Source organism: Homo sapiens, chromosome 5 (genome assembly GCF_000001405.40).
Source record: "Homo sapiens chromosome 5, GRCh38.p14 Primary Assembly".
NCBI lineage: Eukaryota > Metazoa > Chordata > Mammalia > Primates > Hominidae > Homo > Homo sapiens.
The window spans coordinates 91795416-91816019 of NC_000005.10; the positions used below are offsets into that span (position 1 = coordinate 91795416).

The following is a 20604-nucleotide window of genomic DNA, read 5'->3' on the forward strand; positions in this document are numbered from 1 at the left end:
TTCTCATTTTTCTATAACCATGTTTAAAATATGAGAAATACATGGTAGATTAAGATTTATAGTATTATGGATTGGTAAAATAAATGTAAAATAAAATATTCATTATTCTGGAGTGATGTATATTTTTCTCACTCAGTGTTATTGGATTTGTTTTCTGTGTTTTTTGTTTGCTTTAGTGCAGCTTATGTCTGTTTGTGTATTATGAACCAGTGCTTTAGAGTACTCATTTCTTTAAAAAACTGTTAGTAAACTTAAATTAGCAATTATGTATGTTTAAAAGTACATATTTTACCAATAAAGAGAAGGATTTCAAATAGTTTTATATTAGCAGGATTCAAGAGTGAAATACATATACTTTTCTTCCCAGGCCCTTGTGACCATTTTCTAAACTTCTGTATTTTAGGAATCCCCCACTAAAGATAAAACTGCCAGACACTCAGTCTCCCAGCATCCCTTCTGGCTTGTCTAGGACAATTGGTGGCATCACCCCATATTCTGAGTTAGGAACTAGAAAACAAATGAGCAAGGGTGAGAATCCATTTTCAGGATCGATGGTGGCCTAGCAACAACATCATTCATATTTCAGGGGCATCAGAGAAGGCAGGGTCAGTGCCATGCAGAGTGCCCAGAGCCAGCTACAGCGGCAGTGCAGGGGTAGCATCTGGTACTCATGGGCCAGGAGTCTTCTCTGAGGTTTGGATTTTGGGGTATGACTTTGCTGCTGCTCTTGCTCTTGCCTAGCTGTTTTTGGTTTGTCCATTTCTGAGATGCTTATCAGACTGTGAACATGTCAATGTAATATCAGTAAATGTCTTCTCTGGTTAAATAGGTCAGAAGTGCTTTCTGTTGCTTGTAACATTCAAATCATGTCTAGATACAGCTTCTCTGAATAAAATTATATGTGCATATATATACACACACATATATATGTATGTATATAGGTACATATATGTGTATGTATATAGGTACATATATATGTATGTGTGTATATATATATAAATATATATGTATATATAAAAATATATATATGTATAACAGATATTACCTTTATTAGAAATCTCAGATTGGAGCTAGGTCAGAAGACAAATATATGAAATTTAAAATATCTCCACAGGAAAATTCTGCTCCTATTGAGAACCTCTGGAATTTTAAATTCATTGAGTCCTAAGGCAGAAATCAGTGGTGGGGGAGGTGGGGGGTGGGGTGAAGTGAAATAAACATTTGGTTGAATTTTGTCTTTTGTGGGTACAAGATTCTGAGCATTATGGAAATACATTTTGCAAACACAATTGAGGGAGCCTGAGAATCACGGGAGATGCCACATATATAAACAAAGCCAATCTGTTACAAATTAATCTTAAACATATATAAAAACATATGGATAAAACACTTTTCAAAAAAAGTTTTAAAATATTTATAGTATATGTTTTGTGAAAATTATATTGAACAAATAAGAGCGAATTTCTTTAACCAATCTTTTTCTACTGGTTTTAGTCTCTACATTCACAGAGTCTCATATTTGGAGGAAACAATAAAGCCCCCCAATAAACTAAAAGTAAACAAACAAACAAACATAACCACCCTATCTCTAAAAGAAACAGAGGAAATAAAAAGCCTACTAGCCATATCCTGAATGGTGAAATGCCCCAAATTTGCAAACATATTACATAAGTGAAATATTAGTGCCGAAGTGTGAAATGGCTTGCATTTCTTTAATAATTTTCTGCTTAGGAAGAGTGGGTGACTTTTTGAGGTGAAAAATAAAGATTTTATTTTTCAAAAGCATATAAACCATAAACTCAAATTAAATTAGCAAAATATGTGCTTGCCATTTTTATAGGACGTCATCAGGCACAATTTTTGACTTGCTCTATCTGCATGCTATGACTATTACACCAGTTGGCATAGGATTTTACTTCAAGAAGCTAACAGATAATTAACCATCTGAACAGCCTCGTGAGTGGCTCTCTTACTTGTATTGGAGAAATTATATATGCAGATGACATTGCAACATTGTCATTTCTACCTCATTACTATTTCTTGTTTCTTTATTTATATTTCCGGTCCTGGGTGATAATGATTTGTCATTCAATATAGTAACCATCATCCTTTAAGATCCCAGTATAAAGCACAAGTATAAACTCAGCCTTATTTTAAAATGTAACACACAATTATGCTGCTATCAAAGAGTTTAGTGAAATGTTCTTGTGATGCATTACAAATATAAACATTCCATTGTTTCAGCAGAATTGAGGCTCATATAAAAACAGAGGGCACTTGGCAGACAGGTATCAAAGTTTAGGCATAATTAATATCCTTCTCTGACCCACAGGTCAAGAACTAGGCTTACATCAACACTGACTAATTTAGATTAACAAAGGTTTATCAAGCAAGCAGCAGGGGATCCATTGGAATGCCATAAATAACTGAATAGTGTTATATGGAATCAAGAGGATATCGACTGAGTTGCTGTCCTGGGAACACTGGCGTGGCTTCTAATTTTCTTCAGCACTGCTCTATAATAGGACTACCCTGCATGTGTTTCCAGATGGTGGTTTTTCCTGAGTGCCAAAGTTAAGTCAATGCCACTAGGGAAAGTGGGAGAGGGCTAAGGAAACTGTCCTACTATCCACATTTAGGGAATTCTAACTGAAGGAATGATTTCATCTCTCAGCATCTCTTAGTGACTTAATATTCAAAAATTTTAACTGATATTGTTTCATTTACCACAAGATAGAAATTCCAGCAATGTAAATTAGTTATTAATAAGTCCTAGATTTCATTGTTAAAAAGTTAAATTTAATGATTCTACAGGGAATACATTTAAAGGAACAAAGTAAAAGTGAGAAGAAGTAATAAAACATAAAATTCAGTGTTTTAGCTCATGTCTTTCAAAAGCTTTATAGACCTAATTCCAACACTTTGCAATTGTTCTTGTGTACCTCTTGTCCCCCCTTCCAAGTTTCTCACACTCCTCATTGACTCAAAACCTGTTATTTTCCAAGTCCCATCCAAATCATCTCTAATCCTAGTTTTGGAAGACCATTTTCATCTTCCTCCTGACCTCCCTCCCGTTCTTTGTCTCTTGTGATTTTATTATGTCAGCTTCACCTATAGATAGGCTTTTTCTCCTGTCCACATCAAGCCTCTGTGGTTCATTCCTTCTCTGCTGGCTCTCCATTTCACCTTTTTAAAAGTCTAGGAATTAGCTTGACTGAGAAAACTTCTCTATAGAAGGTAGAGAAAGGTGGAGGAAAGTTAACTGAGAAGACAATTAAGACTGGTGTGAGATGATAGAAATGTTGTGATGCCATGAAAGGGAAGGATGTTTTGATTTTCTTTGGTTGTTTGAATATCTGTCACTTACCATCTTGTATATAGTTTTGCTGCTCTAATTTCAGTATTGATTTTATAAATCCCAACTTTCATTTTGTTTTTCATAGCACAACAAAAGAAGTTCCCTGAACTTTGAACAGTAAAGTCAAATTACATGGAAACCAAATGTCTATAGGTCTTTATAATCCTAAATTATGTGTTACTCAAGAAATGGCATAATTAATGCAACCTAGGTAATTGTACAACATGTGCATGCCTTAAGAGACCTGGATTCTCTAGTACTATGCTCTCCATGTAAATGCCCGAGTTTTATGTTGCTACTTACATTCAGATTTATAGAAGCAACCTGAGAAAAATCTAAGTGAAGGCTGTATCATATTAATTTCCTCTCAGTGAATATCCTATGGATTTTCCTAAAATATCAGTATGTACATTTTGACATATTTGAATATATAGCTCTGTAGTAGTCCATTCTCATGCTGCTAATAAAGACATACCCAAGACTGGATAGTTTATAAAGGGAAGAAGTTTCATTGACTCACAGTTCAGCATGGCTGGGGAGGCCTCAGGAAATGTACAATGATAGCAGAAGGGGAAGCAAATGCATCCTTCTTCATATGGTGGCAGGAGAGAGAAGTGCAGAGCAAAGGGGCGTGGGAGGGAAGACCCTTATAATACCATCAGATCTCATGAGAACTCACTATCATGAGAACAGCATGGAGGTAACCATCCCCATGATTCAATTACCTCCCACCGGTCCCTCCCTTGACACGTGGAGATGATGGGAACTCCCATTCAAGATGAAATTTGGGTGAGGACACAGCCAAACCATATCATTCCACCCCTGGCACCTCCCAAATCTCATGTCCTCATATTTCAAAACCAATCATGCCCTCCCGACAGTACCCCAAAGTTTTAACTCATTTCAGCATTAATTCAAAAGTCCACAGTCCAAGCCTCATCTGAGACAAGGCAAGTCCCTTCTGCTCATAAGCCTACAAAACCAAACGCAAGTTAGTTACTTCCTAGATGCAATGAGATACAGGCATTTGGCAAATATAATCATTCAAAACTGGAGAAATTGGCCAGAATGAAGGGGCTACAGGACCCGTGCAAGTCTGAAATCCAATAGGATAGTCATTAAACCTTAAAGTTCCAAAATGATCTCCTTTGACTCCATGTCTCAGATCTAGGTCATGCTAATGCAAGAGGTGGACTTACACAGCCTTGGGCAGCTCCACTGCTATAGCTTTGCATGATACAGCTGCCTCCCAGCTGCTTTCATGGGCTGGCATTGAGTGTCTGTGGCTTTTCCAAGCACATGGTGCAAGCTGTTGGCAGATCTACCATTCTGGGGTCTGGAGGACAGTGGCCCTCTTCTCACAGATCTGCTAGGCAGTACCCCGGTGGGGACTCTGTGTGGTGGTCCCAACCCCACATTTCCCTTCTGCACTGCTCTAGCAGAGGTTCTCCATGAGGACCCTGACCACGAAGCAAACTTCTGGCGGGACATCAAGGCATTTCCATATATCCTCTGAAATCTAGGCGGAGGTTCCCAAACCTCAATTCTTGACTTCTGTGCACCCACAGACTCAACACCACATGGAAGCTGCCAAGGCTTGGAGCTTATACCCTCTGAAGCCATGGCCTGAGCTGTACCTTGGCTCCTTTTAGCCACGGCTAGAGCAGCTGGGACACAGAACATCTAGTACCTAGGCTACACGTGGCAGGGGGCCCTGGATCCAGCCCAGGAAACCATGTTTCTTTCCTAGGCCTCTAGGTCTGTGATGGGAGGATCTGCCATGAAGGTCTCTGACTTGCCTTGGAGACATTTTCCCCATTGTTTGGTGATTATCACTGGGCTCCTTGTTATTTATGTGAATTTCTGTAGCCAGCTTGAATTTCTCGCCAGAAAATGGGTTTTTCTTTTCTATCACATTGTCAGGCTACAAATTTTCCAAACTATTTTTTTTTTTTTTGAGACAGTATCTTGCCTATCACCCAGGCTGGAGTGCAATGGTGCGATCTCGGCTCACTGCAAGCTCTGCCTCCTAGGTTCACACCATTCTCCTGCCTCAGCCTCCCGAGTAGCTGTGACTACAGGTGCCCACCCCCACGCCCGGCTAATTTTTTGTATTTTTAGTAGAGATGGGGTTTCACCATGTTAGCCAGGATGGTCTCGATCTCCTGACCTCATGATCCACCCATCTCAGCCTCCCAAAGTGCTGGAATTACAGGCATGAACCACCATACCTGGCCTAAATTTTCCAAAGTTTTATGCTCTGCTTCCTCTTGAACACTTTGCCATTTAGAAATTTCTTCCACTAGATCCCCCAAATCATCTCTTTCAGTTTCAAAGTTCCACATATCTGTAGGGCAAGGGCAAAAAGTCGCCAGTCTCTCTATTAAAGCATAACAAGAATCACCTTTGCCTCCCAATGAGTTCCCAATGAGTTCCTCATCTCCGTCTGAGACCACTTCAGCTTGGACTTTATTGTCCATATCACTATCAGCATTTGGTTAAAGCCATTCAACAAGTCTCTAGGAAGCTCCAAACTTTCCCACATCTTCCTGTCTTCTGAGCACCCCAAGTCTCTAGGAAGTTCCAAATTTTACCAGATTTTCCTTTCTTCTTCTGAGCCCTCCAAACTGTTCCAACTACTGTCTGTTACCCAGTTCCAAAGTCACTTCCACATTTTTGGGTATCTTTACAGCAGCGCCCCACTCTACCAGTACCAATTTACCATATTAGTCCATTCTCAAGCTGCTGGTAAAGACATACCAAAAACTGGGTAACTTATAAAGGAAAGAGGCATAACTGATTCACAGTTCAGCATGGCTGGGGAGGCCTCAGGAAACTTAACAGCCATGGTGGAAGAGGAAGCAAACATGCCCTTCTTCATGTGGTGGCAGGAGAGAGAAGTGCAGAGTGAAGGGCAGGGTGGGGGAAGCCCCATATGAAACCATCAGATCTCATAAGAACTCATTATCATGAGAACAGCATGGAGGTAACAATCCTTATGGTTCAATTACCTCCCACCAGACACATGGGGATTGTGAGACCTACAATTCAAGATGACATTTGGGTGGGGACACAGCCAAACCATATCAAGCTCATTAGGCACTATGATAATTTTAGCTTTCAGAGTTTGAGACTCTAAAAAATTGAAAATCCATACCTTTGGATTTATGCTTCAGGTTAAACTAGTGCCAGTACCAGTGGATAAAGTTAGGTAATAGTTCTTGGCCAAGAGTGATTTTGTCCCTCCTCCCCTACATAAAAGACATTAGGCAATACTTGATTTTTTCAATTCGATGGGTGCTATTGGCATCTACTGAGGAAAGGCCAGGAATGCTGCTAAAAAGCTTACAATGAGCAGAACATCTCCCAAACAATTATCATATCTAAAATGTCAATGATAGTGACAAGGTTGAGAAACCCTTGATCAAATATTTGTGAAGTGGTATTACCAAGTTTTTTTCTCTAGGCCTTTGACAGCAGCCAAGATGTGACTTCATGATATGCTGCTCAGCACTACTTGTATAGCTTTTGCTGAGACATAGGTTTTTAAAAAAATGTATCTTTTAGGCATTATATCATAATACAATCCAAGAGAAATTTAGTTAAGAACATTCTGACAGTGGCAGGAGGCAGTCAAATGCCTAGGCAGATGGGGGAGGGTCCCCGGTAAAATCCCACCTTCAAACCAAAGACAGCTTAAAGCCTATAAGCCAAGCTACAAGTTCTGGGTAAATCCACAGGCCAGATTGAGAACCTCGCTTCCCATTTGGTGCACTTTCCTCTGACTGATCCCCACCCTTCACCTATTTTACATATACCTACTCTTCCCTGACTGGTTTTCACACTGTCATGTCCACCTTTGAGTGGTGCCTTTGTTTTAGCCTTTTTTGCCTACTCACAAGCAAATCAGCATGCACTCTCCCATTCTGGGCCCATAAAAGCCCCAGACCCAGCCACACTGGGAGACTGACCACACAACTTTAGGTGGGGGACTACCCTCACATCCCCTCTCTGCTGAAAGCTGTTTCATCACTCAGTAAAACTCTTCTCCTCCCTCCTCACTCTTCATCAGTGTAACCTCATTCTTCTTTGATGAGGGACAAAAACTCAGGACCCACCAAACACAGGAATTACAAAGAAGACTGTAACATTGTGGCCCTTTGCCCTCTGCTGGTGAAGGGCACTCACCCCATGTGATGGGAAGCAGTGGTGGGGCCAATCTATTCTCGGAGCCATGGGCCAGAGTGGAGTGATGGGACTGACAGAGCTGTTAACACACTGCTGTCCATGAGGCTGTGGATGACAGGACTAAAAGAGCTATTAGCATGCTGTAGCACCCTCTCTGGGGCTTCAGGGTTGTGGGCTTCCTTGTTTGGGTGCCACCATATTTCCCTTGTCTGGACACTGGAGTCTACCATGGGAGTCACTTGTGACATGCCTGGTCCAGCCACAAGCCCTGCACAGAGCCTGCTCCTGTGCCAGCACTTGCAGTGACCAGCCAGACCTCACAATAGCTCACCCACACATCCCCTGCAGCCAGGGGCTGAGTGTGCAGTTGCAGCATCTGTGGGATCTGCACTGGAGCACAAGCCAAGCTTTGCCTGGCAAGCCAAGCTGGTGGGATGCCTCCTGTCATGAACCCGGGGCCAAGTGAGACCTGGGCAGGAGCATTGCTGACTGGAGGTCTCTGGCTGGCAAAGTGGCTAAGAAAAATCCTGTGTCATTTCTACTTCAATTATGATGGGTAATAAATATCAATTTTAATATTATTTTTGATTTTGATAAGAATACTTCTTATGCAAATGCTATTCTGTATCCCTTTTTTTAGCTCCAATGTTATTCCAACATACCTTAGTGATAAATACTGTGAGTAAACATTAATCTAAGTTTCAGAAAGGCTCTGAGCATGCATATATTGACAAAGGATTCTAAAATGCTTTAGGTTATTATTTTTATCCAACAGATTAGGTTTTGACTTTTAATATTTGTTCAAAAAGTATAAAACATTGGAAAATTAACTGTTAATTTATTATAATTTTTAAATGCTTTTCCACAAAGTATTTACTCTTTCAAATATAGACTTAGAGTTTTTTTTTTTAAGTTCTGCAATTGAATCAAAATACTGATAATAAAGTCTTACTTTGTATTTTCTCCACTAAAAACTTATTTAAATATTATACTTTGCATATGTGGGTATGTAAAATAAGCTTTTATTGATCATGTATGGTTACTATAAATAGTTTAATTCAATTTTTTGAATTATAGAATGAAAGTCTAATTGGAATTACAAAAGTTCAGCTTCTGAATTGAAGTCCCCTATACAATTGAGTTTGATTTTAAATATTTATTGAGCATCTTGCATGTATAAAGCATCATATAACATGTTATATATCTACAAATAATCTACTTAGTCATTTCCATCACAGATCAGAAATGCTTCATATTAGGTGTTTCCATTAAGATGTAGTAAGCCACAAGATAACAACAAAACAAAACCAAATCAACATAATATATAAAAATCATAATTTGAGTAAGGCATTAAACAGCTGAGATTAGAAAGCAACCAAATGAGCTGATTTCCAAAGGGTGACAAGACTTTCCAACAGAGAAGGTTCACACAAACTGTTTCATATTTGGCAGAGAATGGGTGAAAGGAGAAGCCACCATAGAAGTGAGTAAGAAGAAAACAACAAAAATTTTAACAGATTCTTAAGAACTGAGTGTAGGCTAACATAACAGTGTAGAATCCCTGGGCACCTCAGGCATATGGGTAGTCCACATACATTTCTCCAGGTCTTTTTCATAGTATTCCATTGGGTGTCAATGAAAAAGTGGGAGCAAAGCAAAAGACTTGAGAAAGGACTATTTGGTGGTGCTCAAGCACCAACTTCAAGTACTTCCTGGAAGCGTTTGTCATTTAAAGGAGATGTCTTAAGTCTAAGCCACTGCAGAGGAGTCAGGAGACCCTCTGACTCCCAGGATGCAGGAAAACATCAACTTTTCCTGAGGCAGAGGTAGAAACAAAAGGAGTTTTAGCATACAGGATTTGCCTAAAACTGAGGTATGAGCAGAAGAACTAAGAAAATCCCTGGCTTCACCATTATACTTGTCCCAATTATCAAGCAACAGCAGTGTGACACTGAGGGAAAAAAATGTGGAAGAATGTAAGAAAAGACCACCTCTGTAGTACAGGAATGACTTGTCTTCTGAAAGCTTAAGGTGAAGCAAGAATGCTGAGAATGATCACCTGGCACCCCAGACCACCCAATAAGTACAAGAAAGCAGCAGCCCACTGCTGGAAAAAGTTGAAATCACTGCTATACTCTACCAATAACAAGAAAAATTATGCCAGTAACAAATCCCAAACCTAGCTCAACTGATGACTACATTGACTAGACCGCTGACACTGATAGCCTAACCAAAGAAAAGTCATGTCTTTTTTTGGCCATAAGTTCTATTTACTTTACTCTCTACTGCTCTTCTACACACAATTTCTAACATTAAAATAAAAATATAAGACACACACACAAAAGCAATTGGAAAAAAAATGACCCCTTGTCAAGAGATCAAACAGGCAACCAAACCAGAACAGACCCAGAGATGACATTTATTGGTCTCTCTGTATCAAGCACTGTGCTACCTACTTTATGAATGAGATATAATTTAATGCTATTTTTCCTGTATTATATCCGCATTATTTATAATCCATTATATATGTTACACATATGAAAAAACGTGTAAAGAGATAAAGACATATTCCCAATTCACAGAACTAGTATATGTTGGAATTAGGATTTAGATACAAGTCAGTACGTTTTCAGTGGCCAAATCAGTCATACAATCTTCCAAATATGGCAGTATAAGAAAAAGTAATTGAGCACAGAAATTTATTTATGAATTATTTCTTCATGTACTTTTAGAAAAAGATATATAATAGTTATTTTTTTTCTAAAAATAGAATTAGAAGAGGAAGAATGTTAGAGAATAACTTTCTATGTGCCATTTCATCTGCTTCTATATCAGATCTCAAGTTTTCTTACCTAAATATCTGCTTAGTGTTAAGAGATTCATGTCTATGGGTTATCTTGTTGAACAACGTCGATTAACTATTTAGGTATTTAAATATACAGCCTAGATAGTTCTGGCTGTGAGGGGAAATATTTTATTGGAAAATCTACTAGACTCCTGGGAATATTAAATTTTCAGACTTTCATTCTTTCCAAGGCAGCGGGTTCCAGAATGGAAACATTGTTTCAGGTTGGCAGGAGGTCTGTAAGACAGGTAAATATTTTCTCTTCACCCTACCACTAGACCAGTGGTCATATATAGAGACCATTTTTTATAAAAGTTGGAATAGGATATAAAAAGGAAACAAGAATATGAAAAAGGCCAAACACATTTTGGAAAAAGGTGCAAAAAAGACCAAACCTTCCAGTCAAAATTTAATGTTGGCCAGGCGCAATGGCTCACGCCTGTAATCCCAGCACTTTGGGAGGCCGAGGCAGGTGGATCACGAGGTCAGGAGATCAAGACCATCCTGGCTAACACGGTGAAACCCCGTCTCTACTAAAAATACAAAAAATTAGCCGGGCATGGTGGCGGGCGCCTGTAGTCCCAGCTACTACGGAGGTTGAGGCAGGAGAATGGCTGAACCTGGGAGGTGGAGCTTGCAGTGAGCCGAGATCGTGCCACTGCACTCCAGCCTGGGTGACAGAGGGAGACTCCGTCTCCAAAAAAAAAAAAAAAAAAAAAAAAAAAAAAAAAAAAATTAATGTTAAAACTCTCCCAATATTAGTGTATATGGTTAGTACAAGGGCTAACCAAAGGACTTGAGGAATCCAAATAATTTATACAGGTCTAGTATCCCTTATCTGAAATGCTTGGGACCAGAATTGTTTCAGACTTCAATTTTTTTCAGATTTTATAATATTTATAACTATGTAATAAAATATTTTGGGGATAAGACACATATCTAAACACAAAATTCATTCATGTTTCATATACACCTTATACATACAGACTGAAAGTAATTTTATACAATATATTTTTGTTTTCTTTTTCTTTTTCTTTTTTTTTCTCCAGACAGGGTGTCTTTCTATCCAGGCTGGAGTGTAGTGGCACAATCATAGCTCACTGCAGCTTTGAACTCCTGAGTTTAAGCCATCCTTCTGCCTCAGCCTCCTGAGCAGCTAGGACTACAGGCACGTGGCACCACACCCAGCTAACTTTATTTTTTGTAGAGGTAGGGTCTTGCTATGTTGCCCAGGCTGGTCTTGAAATCCTGGCCTTAAGCAATCCTCCCAACTTGGCCAATATATTTTAAATGTTGTGCATTAAGCAAAGTTTATGTTATATACTTATGTGTGGAATTTTCCATGTGTGGTGCCTTGTTGGTGCTCAAAAAGTTTCAGATTTTGGAGCATTTTGATTTTCAGATTTTAGGTTTGGGGTGCTCAACCTGCACGTAGTTGCTTGGAAGACCTTGGAGAAAGGATTCATAGGGTATTGGATGTCGTCAAGAGACAGATCATGAGGAGAAGATCTGTGTTAAAGCCACACAGATTCAGTTGCCCCCAAACATTTCATGAGAGGTTTGCCCCAAGTACCAGCTACATATAGTACCTGGATAATTGGTTCAGTTTTTTTTCATATTATAAACTAAGAAAAGAGGTGGCAATCTCCATTGCTTCAAGCCTGGCCAGCTGATTCTATCTCTCATAGTCCTAAAATCAATATTTTGGGCATCATAAATCCAATTAAATTAAATTTAGTTAATTTAATTTAATTCAAGATGGGATAATTATTATAATTATGAGAACTAAGAATTCATGAAAAGAGGACATATGAGGTTCGTGTAATACACTTTGTTACTTGCCTACAAATATCTATTGGTTACTTTCTACTTTGCCTATGGTTTCTATTTTCAGCCAACAAAAATGACCATAGTTGTTTTAGCTGATTATAATAGTTTATATCCTTGATGCCCAAAAACAGTTACCATTACCTGTATGGGACTTTTGAGCATTTAAAATGTAAACAGTCCAGATTAAGATATGCTGTAAGTATAATATCTCATCAGATATTGAAGAAGTAGTACAAAAACATTGTACAATTTATTATTCATATTATTCATGTATTATTTATTTATTTGTAGAAACAAGTTCTTGTTCTATCATCCAGGCTGGAGTGTGGTGGTGCGATCATAACTCACTGCAGCCTTAATCTCCTGTGCTCAAGTGATCCTACCACTTCAGTCTTCTTAGTAGCTGGGACTACAAGCACATGCCACCATTTCCAGCAATTTTTTTTCTTTTAATTTTAAGATGGCGTCTTGCTATGTTGCCCAGGCTAGTCTTGAACTCCTGGCCTCAAGCATTCCTCCCACCTTGGTCTTTCAAAGCAGGGATTGAGGGAGGGGGCACTGAGCCCAGCCTGTTGTTATTTTTAATAATTATTTATTGAAATAATAATATTTTGAATATATTGCATTAAACAAGTTACATTACTAAAATTAATTTTACCCGTTTTTACCATTTTAATGTAGGTATTATGGATTAACAATTACATATGTGGCTTGCCTTATATGTTTATTGGATAGTAGGTTTTGAGTTGTATATTTTGAAGAGTCAATTTTGCCTTCATTTTTGAATGAAGAAATGTTAAAAGAAGTCCTTCATGCAGAAGAAAAATAATATCAGATGGAAATATAAATCTACGTAAAGGGGAAGGTCATTAGGAATGATAACTACATGGGTAAATATAATTATTTATTGTTTAAAATTACTTTAGAGGGTAATTGACAGTTCAAAGGAAAAATAATGAATAATGAAAAATATTGTGGAGTTTATAAAATAGATGGAAACAAATATACGGCAATAAAACCAAGTCCAAGAGGGAGGTATGGTAGTTGAAGTATATTGTTTTAAGGTTTTTGTGCTCTATGTTAAGTGCTACATGACTACTTGAAGGTAGATTGTGATAGCTAAAGATGTATTTTATCAACTCTAAAGAAACCCATACAAATAGTATAGCTAATATGTCAACAAAGAACATAAAGTGGAATCATACAACATATAACATTAATCCAAAAGGAGGCAGGAGAGGAGTAGTACAAGGAAAACGTGATAATCACAGCACACAAATAGCTATTTGGTAGATTCAAACTAAAAATACCAGTAAAATCTTAAATGAAAATGGTTTAAGTAACTCAATTGAATTTTCTTTTCTGATTTTTTTCCAGATAGATTAATAAAAAGCAAGACACAGCTTTGTGATGCCTACAAACATATAAAAATGTAAATAGGTTGAATGCAAAAGCATTAAAAAACCACACCATATTAACACTCATTCAAAGAAAACTGTAGTGAATTGAAGACAGATACTTAAAAAAAAATACTTACATATGAATGTTAATAGCAGCGCTGTTTATAGCTTTCTGTCTTCCAGAATAACTGTCAGTTGTTAAACATTTACCCGCATACTCCAATCTTCACAGATGCAGGAAAAATGTTTGACCAAATTCAACACCAATCCATGACTAAAAATGCATTGCAGGCTGGGCGTGGTGGCTCACACCTGTAATCCCAGCACTTTGTGAGGCTAAGGTGGGCAGATGGCCTGAGATCAGGAGTTTGAGACCAGTCTGGCCAACATGGTGAAACCCTGTCTCTACTAAAAATACAAAAAAATTAGCCAGGTGTGGTGGCATGCTCCTGTAATCAGAGCTACTTGGGAGCCTGAGGCAGGGGAATTGCTTGAACCAGGGAGGTGGAGGTTGTAGTGAGCTGAGATCATGCCACTGCACTCCAGCCTGGGTGACGGAGCAAGACTCTGTTTCTTTATTATTATTATTATACTTTAAGTTTTAGGGTACATGTGCACAATGTGCAGGTTAGTTACATATGTATACATGTGCCATGCTGGTGCACTGCATCCACTAACTCGTCATCTAGCATTAGGTATATCTCCCAGTGCTATCCCTCCCCCCTCCCCGCTCCTCACAACAGTCCCCAGAGTGTGATGTTCCCCTTTCTGTGTCCATGTGTTCTCATTGTTCAATTCCCACCTATGAGTGAGAATATGTGGTGTTTGGTTTTTTGTTCTTGTGATAGTTTACTGAGAATGATGATTTCCAATTTCATCCATGTCCCTACAAAGGACATGAACTCATCATTTTGTATGGCTGCATAGTATTCCATGGTGTATATGTGCCACATTTTCTTAATCCAGTCTATCATTGTTGGACATTTGGGTTGGTTCCAAGTCTTTGCTATTGTGAATAGTGCCGCAATAAACATACGTGTGCATGTATCTTTATAGCAGCATGATTTATAGTCCTTTGGGTGTATACCCAGTAATGGGATGGCTGGGTCAAATGGTATTTCAAGTTCTAGGTCCCTGAGGAATCGCCACACTGACTTCCACAATGGTTGAACTAGTTTACAGTCCCACCAACAGTGTAAAAGTGTTCCTATTTCTCCACATCCTCTCCAGCACCTGTTGTTTCCTGACTTTTTAATGATTGCCATTCTAACTGGTGTGAAATGGTATCTCATTGTGGTTTTGATTTGCATTTCTGTGATGGCCAGTGATGGTGAGCATTTTTTCATGTGTTTTTTGGCTGCATAAATGTCTTCCTTTGAGAAGTGTCTGTTCATGTCCTTTGCCCACTTTTTGATGGGGTTGTTTGTTTTTTTCTTGTAAATTTGTTTGAGTTCATTGTAGATTCTGGATATTAGCCCTTTGTCAGATGAGTAGGTTGCAAAAATTTTCTCCCATTTTGTAGGTTGCCTGTTCACTCTGATGGTAGTTTCTTTTGCTGTGCAGAAGCTCTTTAGTTTAATTAGATACCATTTGTCAATTTTGGCTTTTGTTGCCATTGCTTTTGGCATTTTAGACATGAAGTCCTTGCCCATGCCTATGTCCTGAATGGTATTGACTAGGTTTTCTTCTAGGGTTTTTATGGTTTTAGGTCTAACATGTAAATCTTTAATCCATCTTGAATTAATTTTTGTATAAGGTGTAAGGAAGGGATCCAGCTTCAGCTTTCTACATATGGCTAGCCAGTTTTCCCAGCACCATGTATTAAATAGGGAATCCTTTCCCCATTGCTTGTTTTTCTCAGGTTTGTCAAAGATCAGATAGTTGTAGATATGCAGCATTATTTCTGAGGGCTCTGTTCTGTTCCATTGATCTATATCTCTGTTTTGGTACTGGTACCATGCTGTTTTGGTTACTGTAGCCTTGTAGTATAGTTTGAAGTCAACTCCAGCCTGGGTGATGGAGCAAGACTCTGTTTCAGAAAAAAAAAAAAAAAAATTGCAAACTAGGAGCAGAAGGGAGCAACCTCATGTTGATAAAGGACATCTACATAAAACCCTTCAGCTAGCATTGTACTTACTAGTAAAAGAAAATTTTTTCCACCTAAGATTGGGTCTAAAAAAAGATACGGCTCTCACAACTCATATTCAACATATTATGGGAGGCTTTAGGCAGTTCAATATGGTTAAAAAAATTGAAAGCATACAAGTTGGAAAGAAGAAATGAAACTGTCTCCATTCACAGGCAACATAATTGCCTACATTGGAAACTCCAAAGAATCTACAGAAGAGTTACCAAACTAATAAGTAACTTTAATAATGTTTCAGGTTGCTAGGTCAATATACAAAAATCAATTGGATTTCTATATCCCAGCATTAAACAATTGTAGATTGAAATAAAAATGTGTATTACTTAACAATTGCACCAAAATTATATAAATCTAATAAAATATGTTCAAGGCCTTTATGCTGAAAATTACAAAATACAGATGAAAAAAATCAAAGATGATGAGAGTAAATGCAGAGAGATGTGTTTATGAATATGAAGATTCAACATTGTTTAGATTTCACTTTTCTCCTAAATAATCTATAAATTCAAAGAACTTCCAAAAACATCCAAGTAATATTTTTAGCCATTATCAAGTTAATTCTAAAATTTATTTGGAAAGGCAGAAAAAGCTAGAATAGCAAAACAAAACAAAACAAAACAAAACCAAAAAACCAAAGTTTAGAGCTCATACTAACTTATTTCAAGACTTACTATGAAACTACAATAATTTGTCAATGCAGTTTTGATGAAATTACAGACAGATAGACCGATGAAACAGAATATAGAATTCAGAAATAGCCTCACACAAATAAAATTAGTTGATTTTTGACAGAGATAGGAAGGCAATTCAATGGAGAAAGAATTACCTTTTCAACAAATGGTGCTGGAACAATCGGATCTCTATATGCAAACAAAAAACAAAAAACAAACAAAAAGAAACAAAAACTTTGATATTGATGAAAAATTAACTCAAACTGGATTATATCACTAAATGTAATACAACTAGAAAAAATTATGAAACAAACTTTGTGAAACAAATCTTTGTGATTTGCCTTTGGTAAAGATATCTTTGGTAAAATTTTAAAAAAGCACAATTCACTAAAAATTAAGAACTTGAACTTTATCAAAGTTAAATACATGTCTTTCAAAGACACATTGTTAAGAGAAGGAAAAGACAAACCACAGACTGGCTAAAAATACTTGTAAATATTTGCAACAGTATGGAATTTTAATTTGTAATATATAAAGAAATTTCAAAACTGAATAATGTAAAAACCTCAAACTATAAAAATACTAGAAGAAAACCTAGGAAATACTCTTCTTGACATTAACCTTGGCAAAGAATTTATGGCTAAGTCCCCATAAGCAATTGCAACAAAACCAAAAATTGACAAGTGGGGACCTGTTTAAACTAAAGAGATTCTGCACAGCAAAAGAAACTATCAACAGAGTAATCAGACAGCCTACAGAATGGAAGAAAATATTTTCAAACTATGCATCCAACAAAGGTCTAATATCCAGAATCTATAGGGAATTTAAACAAATGAAATTAATCCTGTTAAGAAAAACCAAATAATCCTGTTAAGAAACGGGCAAAGGCCATAAACAGATACTTTTCAAAAGAAGACGTACAAGCAGTCAACAAACATATGAAAAAATGCTTCACATCACTGATCATCAGAAAAATGCACACCAAAACCACAATGAGATACCATCTTATGCAGTCAGAATGGCTATTAATAAAAAGTCAAAAAACAACAGATGCTGGTGAGGCTGTGAGGAAAAAGGAATGCTTATACACCACTGGTGGGAATGTAAATTGGTTCAGCCACTGTGGAAAGCAGTTTGATGATTTCTCAAAGAAATTAAAACAGAGCTATCATTCAACCCAGCAATCCCATTATAGGGTATATACCCAAATGAAAATAAATCATTCTACCCCAAAGACACATGCACTTGTATATTCATAATCAAACTATTCACAATAGCAAAGACATGAAATCAACCTAGGTGACCATCAATGGTGGACTGATTAAAGGAAATGTGGTCCATATATACTACGGACAACTATGCAGCCATAAAAAAGAATGAAATCACGTCCTTTGCAGCAACGTGGATGCAGATAAAGGCCCTAATACTATGCAAATTAATGTAGGAACAGAAAACTAAATATTGCACATTCTCACTTATAAGTGGTAGCTAAACATTGAACACACAAAGAAGAAAAACAGACACTGAGGCCTACTTGAGGGTGGATGGTAGAAGGAGGATGAGGATCAAAAACTACATATGGGTATTATGATCACTACTTGCGTGATGTGATTCATACCCCAAACTTCAGCATCACACAATATACTTATCTAAGAAACCTGCACATGTACCTCCTGTATCTAAAATAAAAGTTTAAATTTAAAAATACAATGAAATAAAAAACAATAAGAAAGCAAACATCCCAGTTAAAAATATGTTCTAATGATTTGAACAGACCCACTACCAAAGAAGACATACAGATAGACAAAAGCATATAAAATATGTTCAACATCATTAGTTGCTAGGGAAACACAAACTAAAGTCAAATCTCATAGAACAGAAACAATAAGTAAAGACAAAAACCGACAAACCATGAAGATGGGAGCAGCAAATGGAAATCTCATCCATTGATGGTAAAACTGCAAATGGTACAATCACTTTACAAGTGTTCCCTAGAAAGTTACCATACCCTTACTATACCTAGCAATCACATGGTAAAATCTTATGTTCACACAAACATCTGTATGCAAATATTGATATAGTTTTATTTGTTATTCACATAAATAGACAGACAGGCCCAACTCAATATTATTCAAAGGAGTTAAACATTTTTTTAAAAATGGAATACTGCTTCCAGCTATAATAATGATTTAAGTATTAGACTTAATCTTCTACTGTAAACAACAAGCAAGTAAAAAAATACATGGAGTGACTGTTTCGTGTAACAATGACAATGGACTCTTATCTCTGAGAAAAGCAAAACAAAGATGGTGAGCCCCGATGTCACTCAAGTTTTCTGCTCAGTGGGTGTTTCTAGATTATGAGCACAGCGAGGGAAACTTAAATAGAGTTTGCTGGCCCTGCTGAGTTGGGGCTGGAAACTGGAATTCAGGGAAACTGAGACAGCTAGAAGTTTCAGGAAATAGTTCCAAAAAAGAGAATTACGTAGAAAATAGTTACAGATATCTGCATGGGGTGTCCTTCAGTATTTCATAAGAATTACACTGCATATAAATAGATTCAAACTCTGCAGAATATGACTAACATCCATTTTCAGGTGAGCAATATTGGTCCTCAGTATCCACTAACTTCTCCTAGATGGACTCTTTGCCCTAATCTTGGAGGCCAGGTACCATATGCACATTCTTTACCACACTAGCCATTTCCCCCCATCTCAACCAAATAAAAGCTTCTTTTCACTAAGGGGTTTGATAGTACCAATTGCCCAAAGAAAACGTGTTGTTAAGCGAACTTACTTGATTAAAAAATAATTGATCAATATCCATCATGGACAGTAATAAAGACTGTGTAGTAACGGCAAAGAGATAGATGTATGAATCAAGAGAACTATATAAAGAATAAAAAAAGGGAACTATATAGAGAATAAAAATTTTGACCTACAAAATATGGCCATTTGATTAATGTTAAAGATGCAAAAGCATCTTAAATGGAGAAAGATGAGCCTTTTAAATAAATACCGTTGGAACAATGGGTCATCCATTTGAAAACACATAAACCTAGACCTAAACTTTATTCCTTACAAAAGAGTTAACACAAAATGGATCGTAGATCTATATTTAAAACATGAATCTATAAAACTTTTAGTAGAAAACATAAGAGTCAATCTTTTTCCTCTGAGGTTAGGCCAAGAAATTTTAGAAATGACATGAAAAGCATGATTCACGAGAAAAATTTTTGGAAAATTGGACTTATTTTAAACTAAAAACTTTTTTTTTTGCCAAAGACACTATCAAGAAAATAAAAAGACAAGCTACAGATTGAGAGAAAATATTTGCAAGTCATGTCTCTGACAAATATGAGGAATTCCTAAACCTCAATAATAAGAAAATAACCCAATTAAGGGCAGAGTGTGGTGGCTCACACCTGTAATTCCAGCACTTTGGGAGGCTGAGGTGGGCAGATTGCCTGAGCTCAGGAGTTCAAGACCACCCTGGCCAACATGGTGAAACTCCATCTCTACTAAAATACAAAAAATTAGCCGGGTGTGGTGGTGCATGCCTGTAGTCCCAGATACTAGGCAGACTGAGACGGGAGAATTGCTTGGACCCGGGTGGCGGAGGTTGCAGTGAGCCGAGATCATGCCGCTGCACTCCAGCCTGGGTGACAGAGCGAGACTCTGTCTCTAAATAAATAGACAAAAACTTGGACACTTCACCAAAGAGTTATAAGTGTGAAAAATAATTACATAAAATATATTCAACATTATTATCCATTAGAAAAATTCTAATGAAATGACCACTACACACCTACTAGAATGGCTAAAATAAAAAATACAGTATCAAGTGTGGTAAAGATGTGGAACAACCATAATTTTCATACATTGCTGCTGAGAATGCAAAATGATACAGTTAGCCTGGAAATAGATTGGCAAATTTTAATCAGTTAAATATATACCTACTACATGAGTCAGCAATACCAATTTTACCCATGTTCCTGAGACTAAAGAAGACTTACATTCACACAAAGTCATGTACATGAATGTTGATAACAACTTTGTAATAGCCATACCTCTGCTGTGGATAGGGTCAGGGCAGAAAATAGCTAGGAATTTGGTTCAGGGAACTTGTTTCAGGAAGATGCAGAAGTGGCTACTAGGCACAAAGAAG

At 37.4% G+C, this 20604-nt stretch overlaps 1 annotated feature.

Annotated features, from left to right (window-relative positions):
* Positions 7369–7870: an enhancer, noted in NCBI's record as "H3K4me1 hESC enhancer chr5:91098601-91099102 (GRCh37/hg19 assembly coordinates)". NCBI's record gives its function as "activates a minimal SCP1, AML or CMV promoter by ChIP-STARR-seq in naive H9 embryonic stem cells {active_cell/tissue: H9 hESC(naive)}" and the evidence as "EXISTENCE:reporter gene assay evidence [ECO:0000049][PMID:30033119]".